Source organism: Homo sapiens, chromosome X (assembly GCF_000001405.40).
Source record: "Homo sapiens chromosome X, GRCh38.p14 Primary Assembly".
NCBI lineage: Eukaryota > Metazoa > Chordata > Mammalia > Primates > Hominidae > Homo > Homo sapiens.
The window spans coordinates 54,939,008-54,966,294 of NC_000023.11; the positions used below are offsets into that span (position 1 = coordinate 54,939,008).

The window sequence follows — 27,287 nt, forward strand, 5'->3', positions numbered from 1 at the left end:
AATGTAAAAGAACAGAAATTATAACAAACTGTCTCTCAGACCACAGTGCAATCAAACTAGAAGAACTCAGGATTAAGAAACTCATGCAAAACCGCTCAGCTACATGGAAACTGAACAACCTGCTCCTGAATGACTACTGGGTACATAACGAAATGAAGGCAGAAATAAAGATGTTCTTTGAAACCAACGAGAACAAAGACACAACATACCAGAATCTCTGGGACACATTTAAAGCAGTGTGTACAGGGAAATTTATAGCACTAAATGCCCACAACAGAAAGCAGGAAAGATCTAAAATTGACACCTAACATCACAACTGAAAGAACTAGAGAAGCAAGAGCAAACACATTCAAAAGCTAGCAGAAGGCAAGAAATAACTAAGATCAGAGCAGAACTGAAGGAGATAGAGACACAAAAAACCCTTCAAAAAATCAATGAATCCAGGAGCTGTTTTTTTGAAAAGATCAACAAAATTGATAGACCAGTAGCAAGACTAATAAAGAAGAAAAGAGATAAGAATCAAATAGATGCAATAAAAAATGATAAAGGGAATATCACCACCGATCCCACAGATACACAAACTACCATCAGAGAATAATATAAACACCTCTACGCAAATAAACTAGAAAATCTAGAAGAAATGGATAAATTCCTGGACACATACACCCTCCCAAGACTAAACCAGAAAGAGGTTGAATCTCTGAATAGACCAATAACAGGCTCTGAAATTGAGGCAATAATTAATAGCTTACCAACCAAAAATAGTCCAGGACCAGATGGATTCACAGCCGAATTCTACCAGATGTACAAGGAGGAACTGGTACCATTCCGTCTGAAACTATTCCAATCAATAGAAAAAGAGGGAATCCTTCTTAACTCATTTTATGAGGCCAGCATCATCCTGATACCAAAGCCAGGCAGAGACACAAAAAAAGGAGAATTTTAGACCAATATCCCTGATGAACATCGATGCAAAAATGCTCAATAAAATACTGGCAAACCGAATCCAGCAACACATCAAAAAGCTTATCCACTATGATCAAGTGGGCTTCATCCCTGGGATGCAAGGCTGGTTCAACATATGCAAATCAATAAACATAATCCAGCATATAAACAGAACCAATGACAAAAACCACATGATTATCTCAATAGACGCAGAAAAGGCCTTTGACAAAATTCAGCAGCCCTTCATGCTAAAAACTCTCAATAAATTAGGTATTGATGGGACGTATCTCAAAATAATAAGAGCTATTTATGACAAACCCACAGCCAGTATCATACTGAATGGGCAAAAACTGGAAGCATTCCCTTTGAAAACTGGCACAAGACAGGGATGCCCTCTCTCACCACTCCTATTCAACATAGTGTTGGAAGTTCTGGCCAGGGCAGTCAGGCAGGAGAGAGAAATAAAGGGCATTCAATTAGGAAAAGAGGAAGTCAAATTGTCCCTGTTTGCAGAAGACATGATTGTATATTTAGAAAACCCCATCGTCTCAGCGCAAAATCTCCTTAAGCTGATAAGCAACTTCAGCAAAGTCTCAGGATACAAAATCAATGTGCAAAAATCACAAGCATTCTTTACACCAAAAACAGACAAACAGAGAGCCAAATCCTGAGTGAACTCCCATTCACAATTGCTTCAAAGAGAATAAAATACCAAGGAATCCAACTTACAAGGGATGTGAAGGACCTCTTCAAGGAGAACTACAAACCACTGCTCAATGAAATAAAAGAGGATACAAACAAATGGAAGAACATTCCATGCTCATGGGTAGGAAGAATCAATATCGTGAAGATGGCCATACTGCCCAAGGTAATTTATAGATTCAATGCCATCCCCATCAAGCTACCAATGCCTTTCTTCACAGAATTGGAAAAAACTACTTTAAAGTTCGTATGGAACCAAAAAAGGGCCCGCATCGCCAAGTCAATCCTAAGTCAAAAGAACAAAGCTGGGGGCATCATGCTACCTGACTTCAAACTATACTACAAGCCTACAGTAACCAAAACAGCATGGTGCTGGTACCAAAACAGAGATATAGACCAATGGAACAGAACAGAGCCTTCAGAAATAATGCTGCATATCTACAACTATCTGATCTTTGACAAACCTGAGAAAAACAAGCAATGGGGAAAGGCTTCCCTATTTAATAAACGGTGCTGGGAAAACTGGCTAGCCACATGTAGAAAGCTGAAACTGGACCCCTTCCTTACACCTTATTCAAAAATTAATTCAAGATGGATGAAAGACTTAAACGTTAGACCTAAAACCATAAAAACCCAGAAGAAAACCTAGGCATTACCATTCAGGACATAGGCATGGGCAAGGACTTCATGTCTAAAACACCAAAAGCAATGGCAACAAAAGCCAAAACAGACAAATGGGATCTAATTAAAACTCAAGAGCTTCTTCACAGCAAAAGAAACTACCATCAGAGTGAACAGGCAACCTACAGAATGGGAGAAAATTTTTGCAATCTACTCATCTGACAAAGGGCTAATATCCAGAATGTACAAAGAACTGAAACAAATTTACAAGAAAAAAACAAACAACCCCATCAAAAAGTGGGTGAAGGATATGAATAGACACTTCTCAAAAGAAGACATCTATGCAGCCAAAAGACACATGAAAAACTGCTCATCATCACTGGCCATCAGAGAAATGCAAATCAAAACCACAATGAGATACCATCTCACACCAGTTAGAATGGTGATCAATATAAAATCAGGAAACACCATGTGCTGGAGAGGATCTGGAGAAATAGGAACACTTTTACACTGTTGGTGGGACTGGAAACTAGTTCAACCATTGTGGAAGTCAGTGTGGCGTCTCCTCAGGGATCTAGAACTAGAAATCCCATTTGACCCAGCTATCCCATTACTGGGTATATACCCAAAGGAGTATAAATTATGCTGCTATAAAGACACATGCACACGTATGTTTACTGTGGCACTATTCACAATAGCAAAGACTTGGAACCAACCCAAATGTCCAACAATGATAGACTGGATTAAGAAAATGTGGCACATATACACCATGAAATACTATGCAGCCATAAAAAATGATGAGTTCATGTCCTTTGTAGTGACATGGATGAAGCTGGAAACCTTCATTCTCAGCAAACTATCTCAAGGACAAAAAACCAAACACCACATATTCTCGCTCATAGGTGGGAATTGAACACTAAGAACACTTGGACACAGGAAGGGGAACATCACACCCCGGGGCCTGTTGTGGGGTGGAGGAATGGGGGAGGGATAGCATTTGGAGATATACCTAATGTAAATGACGATTTAATAGGTGCAGCACACCAGCATGGCACATGTATACATATGTAACAAACTTGCACATTGTGCACATGTACCCTAAAACTTAAATTATAATAAAAAAATCCTGTAAGAATTTATAACCACCAGACTTCCCTCAGGTGGGCTGGTGATTCAGAGCTACACTATCCATTTGGTTTGAAGAATGTTATGCTGAGAGTTTAATAAAAAGTGATCCCAAGTCGTTAGCTCCCAGGACTGCTTAGAAGAAGCAAATGAAATCTCTCTGGATTCTCTCAACTCAGGCTGCGTGAGATTTCCATAGATAAATTCTTGACAAGCTGGAGCTCATATAACACACAAGGAAATAAGCTACCATGAGTGAGAATAAGCAGAAACAAGAAGAGAACCCTAAAAACTTAAGATAAGGGATGCCACAATATAAAATAAATATGTTTGAAACTTTTAAAGAAATAAAAGGTGGAATAAAAAATGTAAGGAAGAAACAAGATGCCATCAAATATACAATGTAGATTTGAAAAATAACTAAATAGAATTTCAGAAATAAAAAATAGTCATTAAAATTGAAAACTCAGTGTATGGGGTAAGGAGCATATTGGATACTACTTAAATAGTGACTAGAAGATAAAGCTGAAGAAATTACTCAGGATGCAGCAAAAGATACAAAGAGATAGAAAATAGGAAGGAAAAGTTAGGAGACATGAAGAATAGAGGCAGGAGTAACATACATCCAATTGTATTTCCAGAAGAAGATAATAGAATGTGAGAGATGAATTTTTAAAGATAAATTGTCTGAGAGTTTTCCAGACTTGAAGAAGAATCCCAGTCCTCAGATTCAGGAAGTCTCACTAATCCCAAGCTATACATTAATAAATGAAAAGAAATTATCATCTAGACATATTAGAGGGAAACTTTAAAGCAACAATGATACAAAAACCTTAAAAGTAGCCAGAGAGGAAAGAAAACTAGACTGACAGCAGATTTCCTAGCCACAGTAGAAGCCAGAAGACAGTGAGGGTAATACTTTCAAAGTGCTGAGAGAAAACAACTGTCATCCTAGAGTTTTTACCCAGCCAAGCATCACTAGGATTGAGGACCCCCTCCTACCAAGACATTTTTAGACAAAAAGAAGGGTGTGTTTACTCACTAAAAAAGCTTCTAAAGAAAGATGGAAGGCTGGGCGTGGTGGCTCACGCCTGTAATCCTAGCACTTTGGGAGGCCGAGGTGGGTGGATCATGAGGTCAGGAGATGGAGACCATCCTGGCTAACACGGTGATACCCCGTCTCTACTAAAAATACAAAAAATTAGCCAGGTGTGGTGGCAGGTGCCCGTAGTCCCAGCTACTCGGGAGGCTGAGGCAGGAGAATGGTGTGAACCTGGGAGGTAGAGCTTGCAGTGAGCCGAGATGGGGCCACTGCACTCCAGCCTGGGTGAAAGAGCGAGACTCCGTCTCAAAAAATAAATAAATAAATAAATAAATAAAATAAAAAATAAATAAATAAAAATAAAAAAGAAAGACGGAAAATGAACTCAGAGGGAAGATTTGAGGTGCAAGGGGCAAGAATGATCAGAGGAATTAGTAAGCATGTGGTTAAATCTAAATAAACATTGACTGCATACAATAATAACAACAACAGGAATAATTCACTTGGGGGTTAAGACCAAGTTTGACCTAAAATACAAACAATTAACATGTAAATTAGGAGACACAATGGCCAGGGTTTTAAAGTTCTTCTGTTGTTTAGGTAGAGGGTAGAGATATTGATTTTAGATTTTGTTAATAATGAATATTAAAATGTTAAGGATTCAAGTTGGTTGCATAATAGCACTCAGCAAAAAATTATTATGAGTGATTTTGAAATACATTTTGACCTTACATCCTTATTGAGATATCAACTAAAAATTGAAAGAATCATGATGAAAAATTTTTAAAATGTTAAGGGTAATCTCTAAATGAATGGAAACAAATTATATAACTTAAATATGGATATAAAAACTTTATCAATCCTAAAGAGGGCAGGAAAAGAGAAAAAACTAAGCAGAGAGCTCAAGACAAGATAATAGTAATAAACTAAAAAAGTTAGTAATTACAATAAAAGTAAATATACCAAACTTACCATTCAAAAGACATATATTTTCAGTTTGGATTAAAAACAACGAAACCCAACTATAAGCTGTTTATAAGAGACACAAAACAAAGATACACAGAGAAGTTGAAAGTAAATGAATAGCTAAAAGTGAACTAGGTAAGGAGTCACCAGAAGTCACTGAATCTTGTACAGCTATATTAATATCAGATAAAATACGTTTTTAGGCAAAAAGGATTATCGAGGAGAAAGAGGTTTGGTCACTATGTAATAATAAAATGTGCAATTCACTGAGAAGACATAATTGCTTTAATTTTGTATACCTCTAATAACATAGCCTCTAAATACCTAAAGGAAAATGAGGGCAAATTAAGATGAATTTTATAATGTCATCTCTGTGGGTGAAGATTAAAAATGTGAAAGTGTTGTATAACTGAATAGAATATCTATTGTTTTATCCTCCCAGATGTCCTTCTTTTCTAATAACTTTTCCCAGCCATTTATATCAGAAATAAAGTATGACTAATAAATGCTCTAAAATGTGGAACTGGTTAAGTGGAGGCTTGATTAAAAGCAATGAGCATTCATCTCATATGGGGATAGGGAACTGATGGTCTGGTTCATGTAGTGGCAAAGAAGTTGATTAAATTATTAGCCATTGTCCCTTGGGACAATGCCAACTGCCCAGACAGGCTGGAGCTTTAGGCAACTTGGCAACAAAATATCAGGAAATCAGAGTATGTTGAACTATTTAAAGTGTCTTCATGAAGGGATACCAGAGACAAGGTCCAGGATAAAGTCAGCACTTCTGAAGCAGAAAGAGAATAAGCAAGAAAATTATGTAGCTTTTAAAAGAAAGGGATGGATCTATTGCCTATAGCCAAGAATCTAAAACAACCAAGGGCCAGATAATCATGTGCCTTGTGGGATGGCAGCTGCTGCAAGATATGCTTACTCTGTTTCTAAAGCTGTCTAGACAATTGTGGAATCCTAGCAGTTGCAATGAAGACACTGGGGAGTAGTCCTAGGCATTAGGCCACCCCGCAAACCTTACCTCTCCCTTGGGATAGCGGTAGCGATATTTATCTTGGTCTCGCAGTGCAAATTCTTCAGGGTAATGTTCCTGGATTTCTTCATAGGTCATCTCCTCACAGACACCCTGAGAAAAAGTATTTGGGGGCGAAAGTATTCACAAGATGAAATTCCACAGAGTCTTTGCCATAATTCTTCGATGATTGTGAAACAGTAGCACATGAGCACCTGGGTCTCTGTGAACACAGCTCTGGGTTTGTGCCTGTTGTCCATAAGTGTGTATGCGTGTGTGTGTGTGTGTGTGCGTGTGTGTGTGTGTGTGTGTGTGAGGTGTGTGGCTGTGTAGATGTGACAGTGAGTGTATGTGAGTAGATGTGTTCAGGCTGAGTGTATGATGTTTTTCTATGATTGTACAGATAGGTCTGTAGGTGTACATTATACATATAAGTATGTATTTTTATAAATATATGGGCATAAGGATTTGTGGCTGTGTTTACAAGTCTGTGTGCAGCATGCTTATGATATGTACTTGTGGTATGTTTAAAGACTTATGCCTTGTGTTTGTGTATTTGTCTCAGCATATGTTGTGTGCTTGCGTGTGTGTGTGTATGTGTGTGTATAGGGTGTCTAAGCATCTGAGAATGTGTCCATGTGGTCTTTCCATGCAGGTCTCAGTGTGTCTGTGGCATGTGTGTCTGTTAATGTATATGTCCCTCATTATGTCTCTGGTGTATATGTGAGAGTATCTGTGTGCCTGTGTCTGAAGACCTCTACTTTGGGAACTCTGGCAGATAAACAGGCATCCATAGACATCTCAGACAGGAAAAATTAACAAATTCCTAATGGTTTCAGAGTGGATTTGGGGGAGATACACTCTCCTCACTCAAAAAAGGAATTGAGTACTCAGAGAATGAGTTCCTAAGGAGCTTATGAGAGATTCCAAGTCTACTGAGAAACTCCCAGAGGTGAGGTGACTGCTGCTGGTGGTGGAAAGTGATGTTGGGTTTCTAAGGTTTCCTTCTGGGTATGTGGATTCCAATTAAATCTCCCTGTAGGGGGCCAGTGGCCTCTGGTTGTTGTCTATTGGGCCCATCTACCATGCCCCCATCAGGGGTGAGGAAGTGAACCCCTACCCCAACCCACAAACATCTCTGCAGTGTGAAACTTCTCCAACCCACACTGCCCATGGAAGAAAGTGCACCCTACTGGGTACACGAGGTCGTTCAAGATTGGCTTCAACTTTCTATTCTGAGGAGTACTAGGAGCCTGTCGCCTATGGAAATGGTCATTGACTCCTTATTGAGTCAAATTGCTTAACCTCTCCGAATTTTACTTTCCTTATCTGCAAAATGTGGAGAATTAGAACTACTTCACAGAAGTGTTTTGAATATTGGGAAAATGTAAGTAAAACATACTAGTACAGAATGCGCAAGGGACATTTTAAAGACTCAATCATTAGAATGAAGTATTAATATTTTATTACTCATGGAAAATAAACCAGAAACGTAAATTCTTGCTTTATCTTCATCCTAAATTCTTGCTTCTTCCTCACTCACCCCTCATAGCCAATTCCTGAGATTCCACCTCCTAAAGCTCTCTCAAATGGATTCCTTTTTTCCAGCCTCTCCATTTGTACTACTACAACCTTAGCATTTCCACACACATACAATACCCTCTTTGTTTATGAAGCTCCCTATCCCTGTCTCTCTGCCTGGAATGTCATTCTTGATCCTTTCTACTTGGTTCACTGTTACTCAAACCTGAGGCTTCAGCTAGGTATCACTTCTTCCAGGTAGATCTTGGCTGAGTTAGGTGTCCTGCCCCAAAGTCTATGCACCCATAGTCTTACCTATCAGAGCCTGTATCACACATGCTGTTCTCTATTTCTCTGTTTATTCCTCTGTCTACCCTATTTAGCCTGAAAATTCAGTGAAGACAGGAATGAATTAGATCAATTTCCACCTCCAGCATCACTCCAGAACCTGAAACAAGGAGGGGTTCAATAAATGTTTATACCACATGTGGGCCAGAAATAAGAAGCCACCAAACTTATGATGAAGAAATTTCATATTTGCTTGCATATATTTTACAGCAAATGTATGTGGTATACAGAACAATGCTGTATAGCCCTTTTCTAACTATGTGTATTTCTGTACCTCTATATTTATATACACATATGTATGAATGTACACACACATATATGTCTGTTTCTATAGAGGCATATCTAGCAGGCAAGTAAGTTAACCTACCCACACGCAAGTTATTTACACAAGTGGTGAAGCTTTTATGTTGACGCCTAACAATCATAACCTGTGCACTGCTGCCCAGTGCCATTGTACCTACAGTGCAGGTGAACAATGGAGAGGAAACAGCTCCTTTCTCAAAGAGCTCATGGAAGAACCTGACCCTGAAGAGAGACTGCTATACCACCAGGGTTGGGTCCTTCATGTCTCCCTCTCCCTCATCCCTTACAGCCAGTGCACCAGCAAGCCCTGCTGATTCCACCTTAATTTTTTTTTTTTTTTGAGACAGGGCCTTGATTGTCACTCAGGCTGGAGTGCAGTGGCATGATCACAGCTCACTGCAGCCTCAACCTCCCAGGCTTAAACAATCCTCCTATCTCAGCCTCCAGAGTAGCTGGGGTCACAGGCATGCACCACTGCACCCAGCTAATTTTTAAATTGTTTGTAGAGATGGGGTTTTACTATGTTGCTCAGGCTGGTCTCCAACTCCTGGGCTCAAGTGATCCTCCCACCTAGCCCTCCCAAAGTGCTGGGATTATAGGTATGAGCCACTGCACCTGGCCTGATTCCACCTTTGAAACATTCCCAAAGTCCTTCTTCATTCCATCTCCGATGCCACTACTCTGGTTCAACATGCCCCCACCTCTTGCCAGACTAATGAAGTCAACTTCTTACTGGTCTACTTGTTCATTCTGGCCTTCCTCCCACCAAGTTTCCACACATGCCCAGAGTGGGCTTTTTTGAAAAATGTGCAACACATTCAGATTACTCCTACTTGATGTGGACCCCATCAATGACATCTCATTGTTGTTTGGGCAGCATTTGAATCCCTCAACATGAACTATAAAGCCTGGTGGCCTGGCTTCCTTTCTAGCCTCATCTCCCTTTTCTTCAGATCTCACTATTGCTGTCCCAGCCTCTGTGCTATTCTTTCCTTCAATCCCCTGAAATTGCCATGCTCTCTTCTCATCTCTGGGTCTTCACATGAGTTATTTTCTGTCTCTGAATTAAATTTATTTCCCCACTCCCCAGACCATTTCATCTCCTTCTTATATCACCTCTAGCTTCCTCCAGGAAGCTTTCCTTGTAAATTCCCCAGCACCAAGTTGAGTCAGGAGCACCCTTACCCTCTGATCCTCCATAATCCCTTCTACTTCTCCTCTCATAGCCCTTTGTCACACTGAGATGTAATGTCCTATTTACTGTCTGTCTTTAGGATGAGGGCAGAGACTTTGTCTATTCTGGCCTTCACTGGATCCCCAAGACATAGAATAAGGTCTAGCACATGGCTAGTTGTCAAAAAAGTTTGTTGAATTAATTAGGCTCCCCATAGGGGCTGGAGCAGAGGCAACCCAGGGGATAATCCCAGACTCAAGTCACCCCCACACACAGGAGATTCACCCCATGCATCTCACCGCATCAATCTCATTCAGGGCCTTCCACTGCTCATAGGGGACACCCAGGGCCTCAGCTGTCTGGATGGTCCTCTTCATGTGACTGGTCCACACCTTCAGGGAGCTGATGCCCTGGGACTGAATGAAGTTGGCCAGGGCATAGGCATACTAGGATGTGGGGATGCAGAGGAGGAGAGAAGGGGAAAAGGAGAGGTGAGAGAGAGCAGGGTGGCCATCAGAACAAGCTCAGATCTGCCACAAATTGAGTGGTGATGAACAAGCAGAGCAAAGAGTTTAAATGTTCCAAACTTATAAAAAGCCATACTCTTTCCAATGTGATGGTGGGCCAAGGGAATAGAAAAGAGCATGACAGAGAGAGAGAGAGAGAGAGAGAGAGAGAGAGCGCTTATTTGACGATTGCTCACCGAAGCCCCTACTTGGTTATTCATTCATTCAAACAGGCCCACCTCTAACATTTGTGGAGCCTGGGACAAGAGTACCAATGGAGGCACTCCATGCACAGTCTATCTCTCCATTTCTGGCTCTATCCTGCACTTCTACGTGCCTTTAGTACATGCTTGTGGATAACCAAGTCACATGACCAAGTTCTGTCCACATTTCCACCTCCACTGATCCCCATGCTCCACAAACAGCAACCCCTTGGTCGTGTGATATGGCCTGACCTCAAGTGGACAGGCCATGTAGGCACTGATAGGCCCATGTAGGCACTGAAAGCGGACTCTAGACAAAAAGGGCAAAGAATTCTAGGTTTGGGGTTACCCAGAGTATGGACTGGAAGTAGGGGTTGTGGGATTTGGGAGACATTACTTTTTGACACTGTGAACACTTATTGCTTAAGCAGGGTTCCTGGTACCCAGGTTCTAAGGGCATTCACACATGTATTGAGTGTTCGTGGCCCTGTGCTGGGTGCTGGGGTGTTCTTGTTCTCAAGACATGGCCAGTCCAGTGAGGGAAACACTGGCAGCACCGAGGGGAACCATAAAGGGCTGTGGGAGCCCAGAGGAGCTAGTGATTTCCTCCTCTGTGTATAGGTGTGTCGTTAACTGCTGACGGCATGTGTTAGGAACATCTGCACAGGTGCAAAGTTCCAGGCACACATTTCTATATGCAGCTATAGGCGTTTCATACATACATTTCATTATGGACCTGAGTCAGGAGTCAGCGTGCTCTGGTGGAAGGAGCCCTTGACAGGGAGGTATGAGCCATAGGTTAAACTCCCTCAGCTCCCTTACATGGTCCCTTGTGCCCTCGGACACATCCCTGCCCCTCTCTGGCCTCATATCCAAAGAGCATTGTCTCATCTGGCCTGCTGTCTGGGGGCTGCACTTTAGATAGTGGATGGGGAGCACCCAGACCACAGCCTGGTACACAGTGGGTGCTGCGCAAGTGAGAGCTACCTCGACGGGGAGGTGCTTTGTAAACTGGGCCTGGTGCTCTGTGAGAAGCGTCAAGGTGGCGCCAGCTGTGTGCATGCACACACACAGGTTTGTGTGCAGGGAGGCGTGCCCTGTGGAGACAGCCACATGTCCAGCTGGGCTCCGAGCTGTGTGGGCAGGGCCGGGCTGGCTCCACCCAAGAGGGCCCTGGCTGCAGGGGCTGCCATGGGCTGGGGTCACACCTCGAGCAGCCTCTGACTCTGCTCTGAGGAGTGGGACATGAGGGAGTCACAGGTCAGCGTCTACCTCGAGGGGAGGCTGTCAGTCTGGAGGTAACAGAAAGGGAGACACCAGGGTGTGGCCATCCAGGATAGTGCCTTGCCTGGGGCACCTCCCCCCATCTCCAGTGGGGGAGCTGAGGGCAGGCCAGTAGGCCCGGCTTTCAGTCCTGGCTCTGTCTCATCCTGGCCGCCTGCCCTGGGGCTGCTCTCTGCTTCTTCATCCATAAACTTGTGGCAGGAATGCCCACCCCACAGACCTGTGGTGAAGATGAAATGAGCCACACATGCGGAAGCAGATGGCACCGTGACTGTGCATAGGTGTCCAATAAATGACAATTATGACAACAACTGTCCTTCCTGCACTTCATTTCCCACCTGTTCCATCCCCAAGCGGTCCTGCCAGCAGGAACAATACCTGTGCTAATAAGCCCAGGCACAGGGCCAAATGCTGTGGAAATGGATCCCTGTATTCAGCCAGCAACCAGCCAGTAGGTCACTGTGCCGGGCTGGGGAGAAGATACTCAGGCCAGGAGAGCCACACATAGGCCAGAACTGGGAGAGCTGGAGCCCAGGGCATGGCAACCTGCCTGGGAGGGAGGAGAGGATGGGGAGGGCTTCCTGGAGCAGGTGCTGGGCCTTGGAAGGGAGTGGGGAGGGCAGGAAGGACACTGTCATGAGTGGGGACAGGGGCTGCCAGTGTGACACCTGCGTTGGGATAAGGTCGGGAGGGCAGAATTGGGAAGAAGAGTGATTCAAGGGTGGGTCTCTCAGGGCAGCTGTATGTGCCACTGACAGTCACCCACTGACAGAGGAGACAGAAGAGGGTAGACCAGGTGGGGAAGCTGCACTAGCAAAGGCACAAACTCGTGAGAAAGATGAGGGAACCAGTCAGGCAGGGCCAAGGGAGTCACTGTCATGGAGCAGCTGGCTTTGGGCAGGCCTTGGGTGCCAGGGCCAAGCTCTTAGACCTGCAGAACAGGTGGCATTGGGAGCCATTCGGCGGCTGGGTCCAGACTGAGCAGCTGATGGGTGGAAGAGCAGGAGTGATGGAATCTGCTTCTCCCCCATCCCTGGGTCATTCCACCTCAGGACCCAGAATGTGGCCACCACTACACCTGCAGCCCACCTAGGACAGCCCAGCCAACCCATCTGGGTGTGTGTGGCCCACCCTACCTGCTTGCCGCGAACTGAGAGGCCAGAGTCACCTCCGATGCGGCCTCTGATGTTGAGTTCACTCTCGCCATGTCGGCAAAGGTAGATGGAGCGAGGTGTGACATGGATATTCATGAGGTAGTAGACTGTGCGGCTCTGGATGTGATCCTGCACTCGGTTCACCATGTAGCGTGTGCCCACGTCGAAGATCTTGATGTAGGACAGGTGGCTGGGCCAGACCCAAGCAGGAGCAAGGGCAGCTCAGGGGCTAATGGTGGTAGGGTTGACCCCGAGAGAAACCCCGAACCACACACCCTTTCAAACCTCTTCCACAACCCAGCTGTCACCTAATGTGATGCAATGCCTTGCCCTGTACCGAGTACCTGTCCTAGAGACTTGGTTATTGGCCACCCAAAGGAGCTCATTGCATGCTACCATTTCCCCCTGTCTCCTTCCTTCAGCCTCAACTTGAGCCAAACTGCCTTTTCACCTTCACTCATCCTGTTACAGGCAGCTGGGTTCTCTCTTCTGTGGTTCACACCCCTAACATAGTCAGAGAGAAGCAGTATCCTTTGCATCCCTGGCTAGCTCCAATGTCTTACTGGCAGCTCCTGACTTGTTCACTCCTCTACCCTTTCTGATCCTGAGTTGAGCTCTTCACTCCTCTTTTTTTTTTTTTTAGCCTCTGCTACATATTGTCTTTTATACTCTACACACAGCTACCAGATTGCCTCTGTGTGCATATGTGTGTCTGTGCATGTGTGTGTTTCTCTCCTCACTCAGAAGTGGGGTTGGCCTGGGTTATTTTCCTATTTGCTATGCAGTCAACAAACATACTCCAAACATACTCCTCTGTTCTAGGCATTGTGCTTGGCATGGAGACCCACTGTCTGTGCTTTGGGAGCTCTCTGGCCAGTCAGGAACAAATACTTGGAAACACATGATCAGTGCTCAACATTCATTCCATAAATAGTCACTCCCTCTAAGGTGTGCCAAGCAGTGGGGCATGGGGATACAGAGGTGGTCCACAACATTATTGGGGAACTTGTGGTCCTTGTCCCAAGTTCCTTACTGTATCCTCAATTCTGTGCTCTGTCATGAACTAATACCTATATACTGAATGATATTTAAACTGTTCAACCACCTGTTTGTGTAGAAGCTGAAGGGTGGAGTATAGGCACTGACTAATCAGAAGACTAGAAACATGGAGCAAGACTTCTGAGGCCTACGCTGTACCAGGCATTAAATCCTTTAGTTGTTGGCCTGTACAGAGTTCAGAGAAATCCCTGGGAAGAGGAGTGGAAGGCTGGGGCAATGGGGTGACACCAGCAGCCCTGGTTGCATGGTAACAAAACCGAGTGAATGGAAAGAGCTGCACTGCACTAACTCCAGGCAGGTAAGGTTGCTGATAGGTTTGGTTTCAGAAAGCCTCTCCCTAGTTCTTCCTAGAGAAGCCCTTTATGGCTGCACCACACTCATCATGCCCATCTGTGCCTAATGGCTTCCACAGGGCACTTGTATTTGTTGAACACTTTCTGTGCATCTGGCAGGGAGTGGGAACTTTTAAGCGCATGAATCCTCATAATATTGCTACAGAGCAGAGATTATCACCTCTGTTTCAAAGATGAAGAAACTGAGGCATAGAGAGAGAAAGTGATTTCTCCAAGGCCACCTTCTCGGGAAGAAGAACCCCAGAATGCTCCCCTCTCCAATCATTTCTTCTAGAACCCTCAGAGCCTAGGGATAGAAAATATCTGATGTAAACTTGTTGCCTGGCTACTGTCTGTTCCTAACACTAGGTCCTTTGAGGCTCTAGGAGCTTCCAAATTCCTCAGCTTAGTCTGATCTTCTGGTTTTGCCTTCTCACACTGAGCCCAGTTGGCCTCACTTTATGGTCCCATGCCCATACCCATATCTTCTCTGTTTCATTCTTGTCTTCATACCTTTGCTATTACTCTTGGAATATTTTCTGTATTTCTCTACTCTTGTTCAGATTTAACTAGGCACTTACAAAGTGCTATTCTCTTTGCCCGATTTCCAAAGTTGAGCTGCTATGCATTTATACCTCAAGAGCCGGCATATTCACTCTCTTTTTTGAGACCAGGATCATGTGAAGTCATTTAGAGGTGTTCCACACCAAAAATAGCAGAGTAGCTAATGCCTACCCTCATCCAAACTTTTAATTTTATTTAAAAATTTTTTAAAAAATTTTTAAATTTTTATTTAAAATAAAAATTATAAACTACAGAATATGGGGAGGTCCTCCCAAGTTCTGGTTTTATATTTTTCCACTTTGACTACCTTGATGCTGTTTTTGAAATAGTCAATATTATAAAAGCCTTTAAGCCAGCTGGGTGCGGTGGCTCATGCCTGTAATCCCAGCACTTTGGGAGGCCAAGGCGGGCAGATCATTTGAGGTCAGGAGTTCGAGAACAGCCTGGCCAACATGGGAAACCCTATCTCTAATAAAAATACAAAAATTAGCCAGGCACGGTGGCGGGCACCTGTAGTCCCAGCTACTCAGGAGGCTGAGACAGGAGAATTGCTTGAACCCAGGAGGCAGAGGTTGCAGTGAGCTGAGATCACGCAACTGCACCCCAGCCTGGGTGACAGAGCGGGACTCTGTCTCAAAAATTAAAAATAAATAAATAAATAAAAGTTTTTAAGATAGTTTTTTTTCTTAGTTTGGTAGCCCTTATCTTGCTGGTAACCTCAGTGTAGTCTGCCTATTGGGTAATCCAGCTCGTTTAGACCTTCTTCCTCTAAGCTGGACTGGGTCCTATGTTCCTACAGCCCAGTTGGTTTACTGTCACCAGAGTTGTGACCAACTGTGTACTCATTGTCTTCTCCAACTAACTGGACATTCTGTCAAATCAGGGACAGCCCTTTCCTCTTTTGATTCCACGTTCAGGGCTGGGACCTGATGCATAGACTGTAAATGTCTGTTGATGGAGAAATGATGACATAAAGCTGACCTTCTAGATCTGTCTTCTTCTGGCCCAAACTAATTCATCAAACAGCAACCTAGCAACTGCAGGGTCTAGGCCCAGGGCTGGGGCTTTGTCAATGCCGTTCTTTCACTTACATCCTTCACCCCGGCCTTCAGGCTCCTTTCACCATATGCTGTTAGCCCATATTGTGCCTTTGTGATAATTTTAAAAAGCCGTACTTTCCTCAGGGTCACACAGCCCTACTTCAGCACACATCTTGGTGAGAGAAGCGAGTGTACCCTTGACCAGGGTGCCTGTACAATGAACAATCTGCACAACTGGGATATGGGTTCGAGTATATATTGTGCTACTGACTCATTCATTGTGTAGCCCAAGGTAAGACTTTGACTTGATCTGGGTCTCAGTTCCTCCATCTAAAGAGTGGGGCAGTAACAGTGCTCATTTCTTGGTACTTCAGTTGGGTAAGGCCACTCTTTAGATTTCTTAGAGTGGTGATGACCATTTGAAGCCTCTTTATACTTCTCACTTGGGGTCTCTTCTCATCATAATACATTTTCAAAGAGAGTAGGGTTCTGGGAACATTCTATATCTAAAACTCACATCTGCTCTCTCCTATCTTTAGTTGGTATGATGACAGAACATTTCTTGTTTTTTTTTATGGGTCTTCTCATATGTCAAAGCACTATAGAAGCTACCCGAGGATAGAACCCACCTCTTTTGCCCCTATTTATACCCCCTACATATACCACAGCCCAAAGGGTCCAAATACTTGTTGATTGATGAGACATGGGAGTGTTGTGAAAAGAGACATGACTAGGAGACAGAACATGTAATTAGAATCCTAGCTCTACCCCTTGTGGTGGGAGCTTGGGAAAGTAATTTCAACTCTCTAAGACTCAATTTCTTTTTCTTGAAATTTTATGACCATAAGACTTATCTCAGCCTCCTTTACAGGAGTCCTAGAGGATTAAATGTAAGAAAGAAGGTATACATGTTTGGAAACTGAAGTGTCATTCACGTGTGAAGAACACTTTTGTAATAATAATCGCAACACCCACAGGAGGGGGGCATTTGTTCCCAGGGTCCTGAACTGTTCATATTGCTCAGGAAAGCACTATTTTAGTCATCTTAGGAACACCTTACACATCAAGGAATCAGAGCTGAAAGGATCCTTGAAGAAAGATCATCAAGTTCAGTTTCCTGATATTACAGATAGAGAAGTTGAGGCCCAGCAAGGGAGGATATTTACTCTAGGTTCTACAGGATATCAAAACTGGGTGAAAGATCTAGACCTTGACTTTGGGGTGCTGGCTCTTACCTGTCCAGTTCCTCATCCAAGGGTTGGTAGTTGACCTCATAGCACTCAATTCTCTTTAGAAAGTCTTCCAGAACCTTTTCCCGGTCACAGTCTATATAATCAGGGCTGCCAAGTTTCACTTGCTGGGAGCAGGGAGAACAGAGGTATCAAGGGAGACATTGGGAGACAGATGGTTTTCTTTGGAAGTTCCCTTAGAGACCATTGAGTACAAGATGCCTCATTATAAAGATGAGGAAATTGAGACCTGGAGAACACATCTTGCCCAAGTTTACAAAAATCAGCCAATTGAAAAGAAGCTGGTTGTGTGACTCCTCATTCCTAATCTCAAACAAGGCCTGTTACATTATACTCAGTCCCAGAGAATACACTCCTTATAAAAGAAGAACATTTATAAGAGGACCAGAAATTGTGATATGAGAAATGGCTGAAGAAGAGGAACTAGAGATCTTGGCCAGGGGTCATTATGACTTACATGTATCAAGTGTTTACCGGGAGATTATGATGTGCTGTCTTTGGATTTCTGAAGACTGGCCTCTCCTAATCCACCAATACCCACGTCTCCTCCCACAGTCCTCATCTCAGGTACTGGCACTATCACCTACCCAGTCATATGATCCTAAATGGAACCTGGGAGTCATCCTAGATGTCTGTCTTTCTATCATCCCTCACCTCTTAGCAGGTACCAAATCCTCTCCACTCTATCATCTCCTCTAAATATCCATTCTTTCTTGCTTGTGCTCACTATAGCTTTGTGCCCAATTACTTTGTCTATATTCTTTTTAGTTCTAATGTATTCACCATACTGGCAGCCAGAAGGGTATTTCTAATATGAACATCTGGCCAAAGTATTCTCCTGCCTAAAGCCCTTCTACATTTTGTCATACCTTTTAGAAAAAAGTGTGAATTATTTTAGCAGGTGGCTCATGGCTTGTCATGATTGGGCCCCAAATTATTTCTTCATCCTTATCTCCCATGGCTCCCTTATTCCTCCACACATTTGGCTTTAGCCAATTTAAGCTACTTATAGTTCTCTGGAGATGCCATACTTAGTATATGCTTATATCCTTATTTTCCATTCTTCACCCACCAAATTCTTATGTGTTCTTCAAGGTACCATTCATTTTAATTTTACCTCCATTAGGAAGGCTTCCCTGATTTCTGCCCCCATGCAAAGTTAGGCCCTCAGCACTGTCTTCCCAAAGTTCCTCTGTTCCCTCATCTCACCTCAGTTCTCAGAGTTCTGTATATATACTTGCCAGTCTTCCTTACTAGACTGTGCGCTCAAGGGAAGGACTCTCCACTATCCATATATATGTCTCTAATGCCCAGAATGGCCAAGACCAGGTATATAGTCAATTTCTATTGAATCAATAGATAGATAGATAGATGGGAGGATGAAGAAGGAAGGGAGGAAATGGACATGCTGTATGTCCCAAAAAGTTAAAAAAATGACCTATTAATAAAAATTACAGGGAGGCAGATTCCAGCTTGACTGGACCGCATTTGTTGAAAGCAATGGGCCCCTTGTCATTGCAGGTATAAAAAGAAAATATAGATATACATTTAGGTAAGATTTCAAGTATCTGATGGAGGGTAGAAGAAAATTACCCTTAAGGTCTCTTCTGTTCTTGAGCTCCAGTAATTTGATGAAGTAGGGAACAACAAAATGTGGTAAATGACCTAGTTCTAGACCACATGTCTAGAATCTAAGAGCAGTGATAGTTCTGGTATGAATTTTGGGGCAGAATAAAAAATGTAGGCTTTTGAGGCAGACAGCCAAGCCTGAGGTCCAGTCCCACTTCCATCCCTTTGTATGAATTTTTGACAATTCATTTATGCTTTTGGAACCTCAGTTTCCTCTCTCTAACATGGAAATAATCTCTAATATGCAGTTTTGTTGTGAAAATTAATGACAGTCAAGTTTGATATCTGGAGCATACAAAGGGCACTATATATGTTGGCTTCATTAAAATTAATAGAGTCATTGTAAGCCAGGATGGTTAGGGAATGCTTCCTATGAAAACTCAGAGAAGATCAGGGAGGAATACTTTCTTTAATCTCATGGAGTTGCCTTAGGCATAATCTCACCTCTGCCTTAGGCATGATCTAAGCCTAAGGCAGAGCAAAGTGGAAAAGTAACTGGTGGTCCTTACCCTGATGTTTTCTGCAATTATGCCAGGGTCATTACAAATGGACTCAATGAAAAACACCTATAAAAGAAACAGAAAAGAGATTTCCAGCAGGAAATTATGTTTGGTAGGAGCTGAACATAGCTTTACTCCTTTTCAATGGCTCTAAGTCATCTCCAGGGGCATCTCTGACAACATAATGCTCTCATACAGTGGTACTTCCAGGCTTCTGAGTTTCATGAGGCAAATTGGCTCTAAACTGAATGACCCCAGACTGTTGTTTTATATCTTTACTGGGTTTAGGTCTTATATAAGTTTTTTGTAGTGACTCTCTCCACTCTTTCCCCATAGCCAGCCTGTCTGCAGTCAACTTCCATTGCCTAATGTGGCACCCCTCCTTTCTTGTTCTGCTTTGCTGCTTCTGACTATATCCTGGAAAGTTAGAGAACCAAATTAAAATGTTGAGCTTATGGTTGCGGATTTGGCCGCTCTGAGTCCCCTGGTTTGCCTTTCTTTGGGGTTTGTGCTGGAGAAATAGGCTCTAGATAAGAGTTGGAGTGTTACCATACCTTGTAACCATGTTCTTTTGCAAACTGCAGGATCAGTGACCGTCGTTCTCTGGTAGTGTTGGTGGCATCAAAAACCTAGAGGCAGGTAATGAGATTGGCTTACTCTGAATCTGGTGCTAACAGAACACCTACTCTTTGCCCATCCCTGTGCTAAGTGGAGGGCTTCCATATGGAGGTAGAACTTGAACAAGGTCTTGAAGGATAGGAAGGATTCATGATTGGCTTATGACAATTTCACAAGCACATATTGGGCCCTTATGGTCTGTCCAGAAATGTATGCTACCCTGTGAGTGTAATAAGGCAAGAGGAAATTGTGGGTTTTTATTAGGGTCATTTTATAGGTGAGGTAACTGAGGCCTAGAAGAAGTTGGCTTGACCAAAGTCACCGAGAGTTGCTGACAGAGCAGAGCTAGAACTGGTTCTCTCAATTCCTAGCTGAAGCTTCTTCCTTCCTTATCACTTTAGAAGTCCTCTAAAACAGGAAACAATTCCCTAACCTCAGCACCTGAGATTGGACCATTTGCATATTTGAGAATCTCCTCCCCTTTTATAATTTGCAAATCCTAGCCAAAATATTGACTAGATATTTAGGTAAGTCTCTATAACTCAAAACTGTTTGTACTGCAGTTTTAAATTCTAATATAGTCCTGCTGAATTATTGGGGGTAGACTGGTAGTGTATAGTGGTTAAGAGCGGGGATTCTGAAGCTATGCAACCTGGATTCCACTTCTGGCCCTGCCAGGTATACGTTGTACCACCTTGGGAAATTATTTAATGTCTCTGTGAACCATTCTTCTGGGCTCTGAATTGGGGCATAATAACAACACCTATCTCAAGGGGGGAGCATAAAATTAAATTATTAATATATGCAAATACTCAGAACATAATGTTCTGTACACATTGGTAAATGTTCAGTACATATTAGCTAATTCCCTTCCCAGTAGTTACCCAAGGAAAAAATAAAAAATTTCTTTACCGCAACATGACCTTCCTCATGGCTGAGATAGTTGTGAACATCCTTCAGGGCTGCCAGGGCGCACTGCCTGAAATAGACCAGGAAAGAAAAAGAGGCAACCCTTATCCCCCAGGATGGATTTCTCTCTCATTGTCTGCAGTATCTTCTGTACCATCTCTCATGTCTTAGACTAACTTATCATGTATTGAACATCTACACAGGGTGCCCTACGCTTTAGGCACCGTGCTAAGCACAGAGGGGTCAAACAGTTGAAAGTGGCTATGTGTGCACAGCTTACACGGTTTACGGGCAGGTATAAAGTGACACAATCAGGAAAAGCTGAGCAATGACAGAAGCCATAATATTAAGGGCTCCAACCCTTGAGCTAATGGAACTCAAGCTGAACTGTTTTATGGACCCAAGTAGAGCATGTGGTCTGTGAAGTAAAAGGCATTCCTGGCATGGGTAACACACAGGCATGACAGTGGCAATGTATTTATGCTTTCAGCAAAAATCTCTTTAGTGATTACTCACTGCCAGGTTCTATAATGAAGGCATAAGGCACAGGCTCTATTCTGCAAGTACTCAGAGTCTTGTAGTGCAGAGAGACCTTGAGGTTGAACTGATGAGACTACAGAAACTAGAGTAGGCCAAGGTATTGAGATTCATGCCTCAAATGCTAAGCTGAGAAGTTTCTACTCTCTCCTGTCAGAAGTAGAAGACCATTAAAGGTTCTTGATAAGTGGATGGTTATGACCAGAAACAGGATTTGGGCAGGAAAATGGAAGGGCTGTTCCAACTACTGTTTGAGAGTCTAGAGGGCCTCCTTTCTGGTCCAGATTATTCTTGACCAGAAACAGGATTTGGGCAGGAAAATGGAAGGGCTGTTCCAACTACTGTTTGAGAGTCTAGAGGGCCTCCTTTCTGGTCCAGATTATTCTGCCCTACTCCCCCAATATCTGAACAAGGGCCTTTCAGCCATGAGACAGCACAGGTTCCTAAAATATTGGGTACTTACTTCCTGATTTGCAGGGCTTCCATGTTGTCTGGAAGAAAGAATTCATAGTTCTTGTAGCTCACTGCCTCTCGTCGATACTGGCCTAAATTAAACACTGAAAGCAGGGAGTGCCAGTGAAGAGGTTGGGAAGATCCCAGTGGCCAAAAAAATGTCCTTGCTGGGAGGGACCTCAGAGGTAGAAGAAGGTATAATTTGTAGCTACAAAATGTGCTTTTAAAACTTCAAATTATGGCTACCAGTTTATTTATTCCTCACAACAGCCCTGCAAAGTAGAGATCACTATTACCATTTTATAAATGAGGAAACTGAAAGTTCAGAGATAGGAAATAACTTACACAGTGTAAGTTATTTCCTATCTGTGGATATCTGAGATCAAACCCAGGTCTATTTAGCTCCATAGCTGGTGGTCTTTCCATTATTCTACTTTATCATAAATGCCAATCCTTAAAATGCCCTACTCCAGTGGAAAGATGAAGAAATGGAGATCTAGGGAGTAAAATTAATCACCAAGGGTCAAACAGTGAGTGAGCTGGTGACAGATATAGACTGGACCTCCTGACTTCTAGTCCAAAGTTATTTTATTTTTCTATATTATGAGGAAGATTCTAAATCTAAATCTCTAGGCCATACTTTCCCACTTGCAATGATGAAAAACTAGAGAGGAGGGAAGGAAAGGAGGAGAAAGAAGATAAGCAGCCAAAGAGTTAATATTTCATTCACTCATCTAACAAATACTTTTTGACTCCTACTCTGTGAATCAGGATATGAGCTCTGGGTCTCAGGGATTAGCCCGATCTTCATGATGGGGCCTTTAAGGCACTCACAGTCCAACAGGTAAGACAGTGAGTAAACCAGTAAATGGAGAGCTCCCACAGAGTTTGTTCAATGCTCTGACAAAGACAATATTAAGCCACGGAAGACAGTGAGAGAGAAGGAAAGACTAATTGTACTTGGAATGATCTGAGAAGGTTTCACCACTTGAACCAGGCTTTTTAGGGTAGGCACCTTTTACAGGCAGATATGGGCAGCGGGAGTCAGGAACAAAGGCATTCCAGGTAGAGGAACAGCTTGAGCAAGAGTATGGCATTGGCAGAAGGAAGAGCATGTTTGGAGGATGGTGAGTCATCCACTATAGCTGAGGCCTGAGATGCTGGAAGGGGCCAATTGTGGAGGGCCTTGAACAACAGGGTAAGGAGCTTGGATTTAAACCTGCAGGCCAAGGGGACCTTTGGAGGCCACAGGCATGTTCAGCTTTGTGCTTTGAAATATGACTCTGGAGGCCTTTGAGAGAATTGAGTGAAGAAGATAGAAAGCAGGGGAATCAGAACCCATGATGGGGCCCTTAAGGCAGAAACCCGTCTGCCAGTGTCCCATGTGCCTCTACACTCAGCAGATTTTCCTGAGAGCTTGCAGTCCTCCATGAGAGCTGCTCCTTCTCTCCTTCCCTTCTGCCAATGTCTTATTCCTCCCACAAGACTCAGCTCAAACATATCCTATGTAGGAAGCTTTCCTTGCCTTCCAGTTGGCATATCCCTTTGTGATTTCATACAGCGCCCTGCTCCTGCTCTAGAATTCCTAGATGATATGAGGTATTCTTATACATCCCAGCTAGACTCAGAACTCCTCAAGGACAGGGTGTGAGTCTCAACCAGTTTTGTATCCCCACTGCCTAGCAGGAGTTTGGGCACATGGTAAACCATCGGGAAACTCCTCACCAGTGAATTAGATAAAGAGAACATAGATGAACAGAAAGAAGAAATGGGAAAAAGAAACAAAAATTGGGGAGAGGAAGGAAGAGGGGGAGAGATAGAGTGAAGTGGGGCAGAGAGACAGGATGTTGAGATTAACAAGGAAAAGAAGGAGACAAAAAGAATGAAGAAAAGGAGACTATAGGGCTAACATGGGATTCTTTTCTCTTCCAATCAGTAGAATCATGCATTAGACTTGGCACAGTGAATATCAGGCTTAGAATCAAATAGACCTGGGTTCATATCTTGGTTCTGTAACTGGATATATGCCTTTAGACAAGGCACTTCACTCCTTGGGCCTTAATTTCCTCAGCTATGAAATGGTGAAGAAGTGGTAATGCTAATAAAAGTAGTAATATTGGTATGGCAATAATAGTAATGGCAATAAAAATAATATGTTACTCACAGGATTGTTTTGAGGTCATGGAACTTCTTGAGAGAAGACATTTAATCTTAATACTAGTTTTCCTATGCTTAGCACCTAGAGTGGTGTTGGGCACAAAGTATGTGCTCAAGAAGTTATAAAATGTATAAGAATGTAGTAATAGTGGTAGCAGTAGTCCTAATGCTGGTAATAATAATGATGGGGCATTTCTGGTATTGAGGACTTTGGCCTTCTACCTAAGTAAGGTTTTCAGCCAGTAGCTTTTATGGGGTTGTTGAACAAAGGCTTTCAGAGACATACCTTTAGTTGGTGTTCCTATCCAGTTGAGATATCGTGTGAGCTTTGTGGAGATATAGGTCTTGCCTCGAGCTGGTAAACCCACCATGATCACCATTGTGGGGGAATTGGTAAACTGGGGTATGGATGCTGAAAAATAAACAGACCCTCAAAAGCTTATCCTCAGATTCATAGGCTCTTCTGGTATTAGGCCAGAAATGTAGAGTTGTAAAGAACATGTCTCCCACCATTACAGTAACGAAAAAACCGGGAAAGTGAAAATTAAGAACTTCTCTCAGACTCATCAGAAAACTGAGGTTGCAGTACCACAAACCTGTAGAAACAACCATCTTCAAGGGAGCCACAGGAACAGGCATTTGCTTACCTGGTGCAGATACCACTGAACAACATACAAACTTTATAAGAGGATTCAGCTAAAAATTATAATGAATTGCTAAAGGCTGGTTATGGGCTAGTGTGAGAATGTGAAGCCTGTAGGGGCTGCAGACATAGGCAATTTTGCACCCCTTTGCAGAGTTTTCCTCCAGGAACTGCCCCAGGTGCTGACAAGAAAGACTGAGAAGAATCCTGAGAAAGATATCCTGTAGTTCTGCTCGGGCAGAACAGTATAATAGCTGTTGCTGAAATTCTGCACAGACTAGTTTCCCTATATTCTCTATGGAGCAAAAGCCTTACTATTCAGGGAAAAGGCAACAAAAACCAGCTTGAAAGTACTGGGAGAAACTCACTGCAGCTGGCAGAGCAGAATGGCCAACATCACTGAAACTCTGCCCATACCAATCTACCTTATCTTCCCAAAGGGAAAAAAGTCTTAGTCCTCAGAAGAAAGGGCAACAGAAACTGAGGGCACTGGTGAAAACTCACTACAGCTGGGGGAGAAAATTGAAAAAAAAAAAAGTCCTAACCCAGGAGGGGCAGGAAAATGTGCTAAGCCCACTTGGGTTAGAACATAGGAGGAGGGGCAGGAACACTTGTGAAGGTCATACCTCCAACACCCAGGGTAAGCCTGCCTAAGACTGAGACTTAATCAGCATAGCATAGAATGTCCCAGGTCCCCATTCCCCCACTACCAGGCTAAAAAGCATCAGTAAAAATAACAGTGGAATACATCTATAAGAGATTTAAGAGATATATTATCTCCAGGGTGTAGCACAAAGGGCGAACAAAGCAAGGAATAAAAACAATGTCTGAAGAGAAAAGCAATCATTAGGACCAGAGTAAGTTATGACACAGATGTTGGAAATATCAGACAAGGAATTTGTTTATTTATTTGGATTATTTTACTTTCTTTTTTTACATTATAGATTCAGGGGTTATATGTTCAGGTTTGTTACCTGGGTATATTGTGTAATGGTGGGGTTTGGGCTTCTAGTGAACCCATCACCCAAATAGCGAACATAGTACTCACTAGGTAGTTTTTCAACTCTTGCTCCCTCCCACTGTTCCCCCTTTTGGAGTCCCCTTTGTCTACTGTTTCCATCTTTATCAGATAGGAAACTTAAAATAGCTATGATTAGTATGTTAAAGGCTCTATTGGAAAAGTTTATCATGCAAGATCAGATAGGTAATTTCGGCAGGGAGGTGAAAAGTATAAGAAAGAATCAAATATAAATGGGAGAGAAAAAAACACAGTAACAGATCTGAAGACTATCTTTGATGTGCTCATCAGTAGACTCCGCACAGCTGAGGCATCAGTGAACTTGAAGATAGGTCAATAGAGATCACACAAACTGAAATGCAAAGAGAAAAAAAGAGCAAAAAAAGAAACCAGAACAAAACATCCAAGAACTGTGGGACAATATCAAACAGTATAACATATACGTATTTAGAACACAAGAAGGGGAAGAAAGAATAAGGCAGAAGAAATATTTGAAGACATAATGGCCAAAATTTTCCAAATTAATGACTGACACCAAACCACAGATTCAAGAAGCTCAGAGAACACCAACCAGGGTAAATACCAAAACCAAACCAAAAACCACACCCAGACAATATCAAATTCAAATTGCAGAAAATCAAGACAGAAATAAAATCTTGAAGATTGCCAGGAAGAAGGCGGTAGGTGGGGAACATCTTACCCACAGAAGAACAAAGAGAAGAATTATACCAGACTTCTTGTCAGAAACCACATAAGCAAAAAGACAGTGAAATGAAACCTTTAAAGTATTGTAAGAAAAAAATGCCAATCCAGAATTCCAAGTTCTGCAAAAATATCCTTCAAAAATTAAGATAAAATACTTTTTCAGACAAACAAAAACTGAGGAAACTCAACATCAGCAGACTGTCTTACAGTCTAAATATTAAAGGAAATTCTTCAGAAAGAGGGTTATGATATAGGTCAGAAAATTGGGTGTACATAATTAAAGGAAGAGTGTTGCAAAAGGAATAAATGAAGAAAAATATAACTATCATATTCTTAATTGTTCTAAAATATAACTGATCTTTTAAAGCAATAATAGTACCAATGTATTATATGTTTATTGCATTTGTAAAAAAAATAATGGAATACAACAATGAAACAAAGAATGGAAGGAAGGAATTGGGGATAGTCTTGTACTACACATGAAGCAGTATAGTATTATTTAAAGGTGAACCAAATTATATAAAAATGTACATTACAAACTTAATGGAAATGACTAAAAAAGTTTCTTTATAAGATATCTAAATAATAAATAAATACATGAGACAAAATGGGATCACACAAAATGAACAAATAAAATAATGAAAGGCAGAAAAAAAGAGGGAAAAAGGAAACGAAAGCCAAATACAGTAAATAGAAAACATCAAGAACAAATATAATGAAAAGAAAACAGAAAGATGGTAGATTTTAATCTAAGTATATTGACAATCACTTTAAATGTGAATCGACTAAACATTCCAATTAAAGACCGAGATGGTCAGATTAGATTAAAAAGTAGGATCCAACTACATGCCATTTACAAAACATATATAGTTGGGTCCAATTCTCAGACCTTTTATCTCTCACTAACTCAAATATAAAACTCTGAGAGAATGCATGGACAACTATATGAAAATTGAAA

At 42.4% G+C, this 27,287-nt stretch overlaps 1 protein-coding gene across 10 annotated transcripts in view, besides 1 other annotated feature; it reads right to left on the minus strand.

Annotated features, from left to right (window-relative positions):
- PFKFB1 (6-phosphofructo-2-kinase/fructose-2,6-biphosphatase 1) overlaps nucleotides 1-27,287 on the minus strand; it is a 65,829-nt gene that overhangs the window by 6,047 nt on the left and 32,495 nt on the right. For 4 of the 10 annotated variants that reach the window (XM_047442157.1, XM_017029576.2, XM_017029578.2 and 1 more), the window contains 9 exons: nucleotides 24,250-24,375; nucleotides 21,817-21,973; nucleotides 20,820-20,886; nucleotides 19,844-19,918; nucleotides 19,299-19,355; nucleotides 17,146-17,267; nucleotides 12,898-13,105; nucleotides 10,068-10,214; nucleotides 6,432-6,536 (listed from right to left, as the gene is read on the minus strand). In XM_047442157.1, the coding sequence (XP_047298113.1) occupies nucleotides 6,432-6,536; nucleotides 10,068-10,214; nucleotides 12,898-13,105; nucleotides 17,146-17,267; nucleotides 19,299-19,355; nucleotides 19,844-19,918; nucleotides 20,820-20,886; nucleotides 21,817-21,973; nucleotides 24,250-24,375 (1,064 nt within the window). The remainder of the gene's footprint in view (nucleotides 1-6,431; nucleotides 6,537-10,067; nucleotides 10,215-12,897; nucleotides 13,106-17,145; nucleotides 17,268-19,298; nucleotides 19,356-19,843; nucleotides 19,919-20,819; nucleotides 20,887-21,816; nucleotides 21,974-24,249; nucleotides 24,376-27,287) is intronic. The other 6 variants (XM_047442158.1, NM_001271804.2, XM_024452389.2 and 3 more) reach the window with 4 other exon arrangements.
- Nucleotides 11,663-12,163: an enhancer, noted in NCBI's record as "H3K4me1 hESC enhancer chrX:54977103-54977603 (GRCh37/hg19 assembly coordinates)". NCBI's record gives its function as "activates a minimal SCP1, AML or CMV promoter by ChIP-STARR-seq in naive H9 embryonic stem cells {active_cell/tissue: H9 hESC(naive)}" and the evidence as "EXISTENCE:reporter gene assay evidence [ECO:0000049][PMID:30033119]".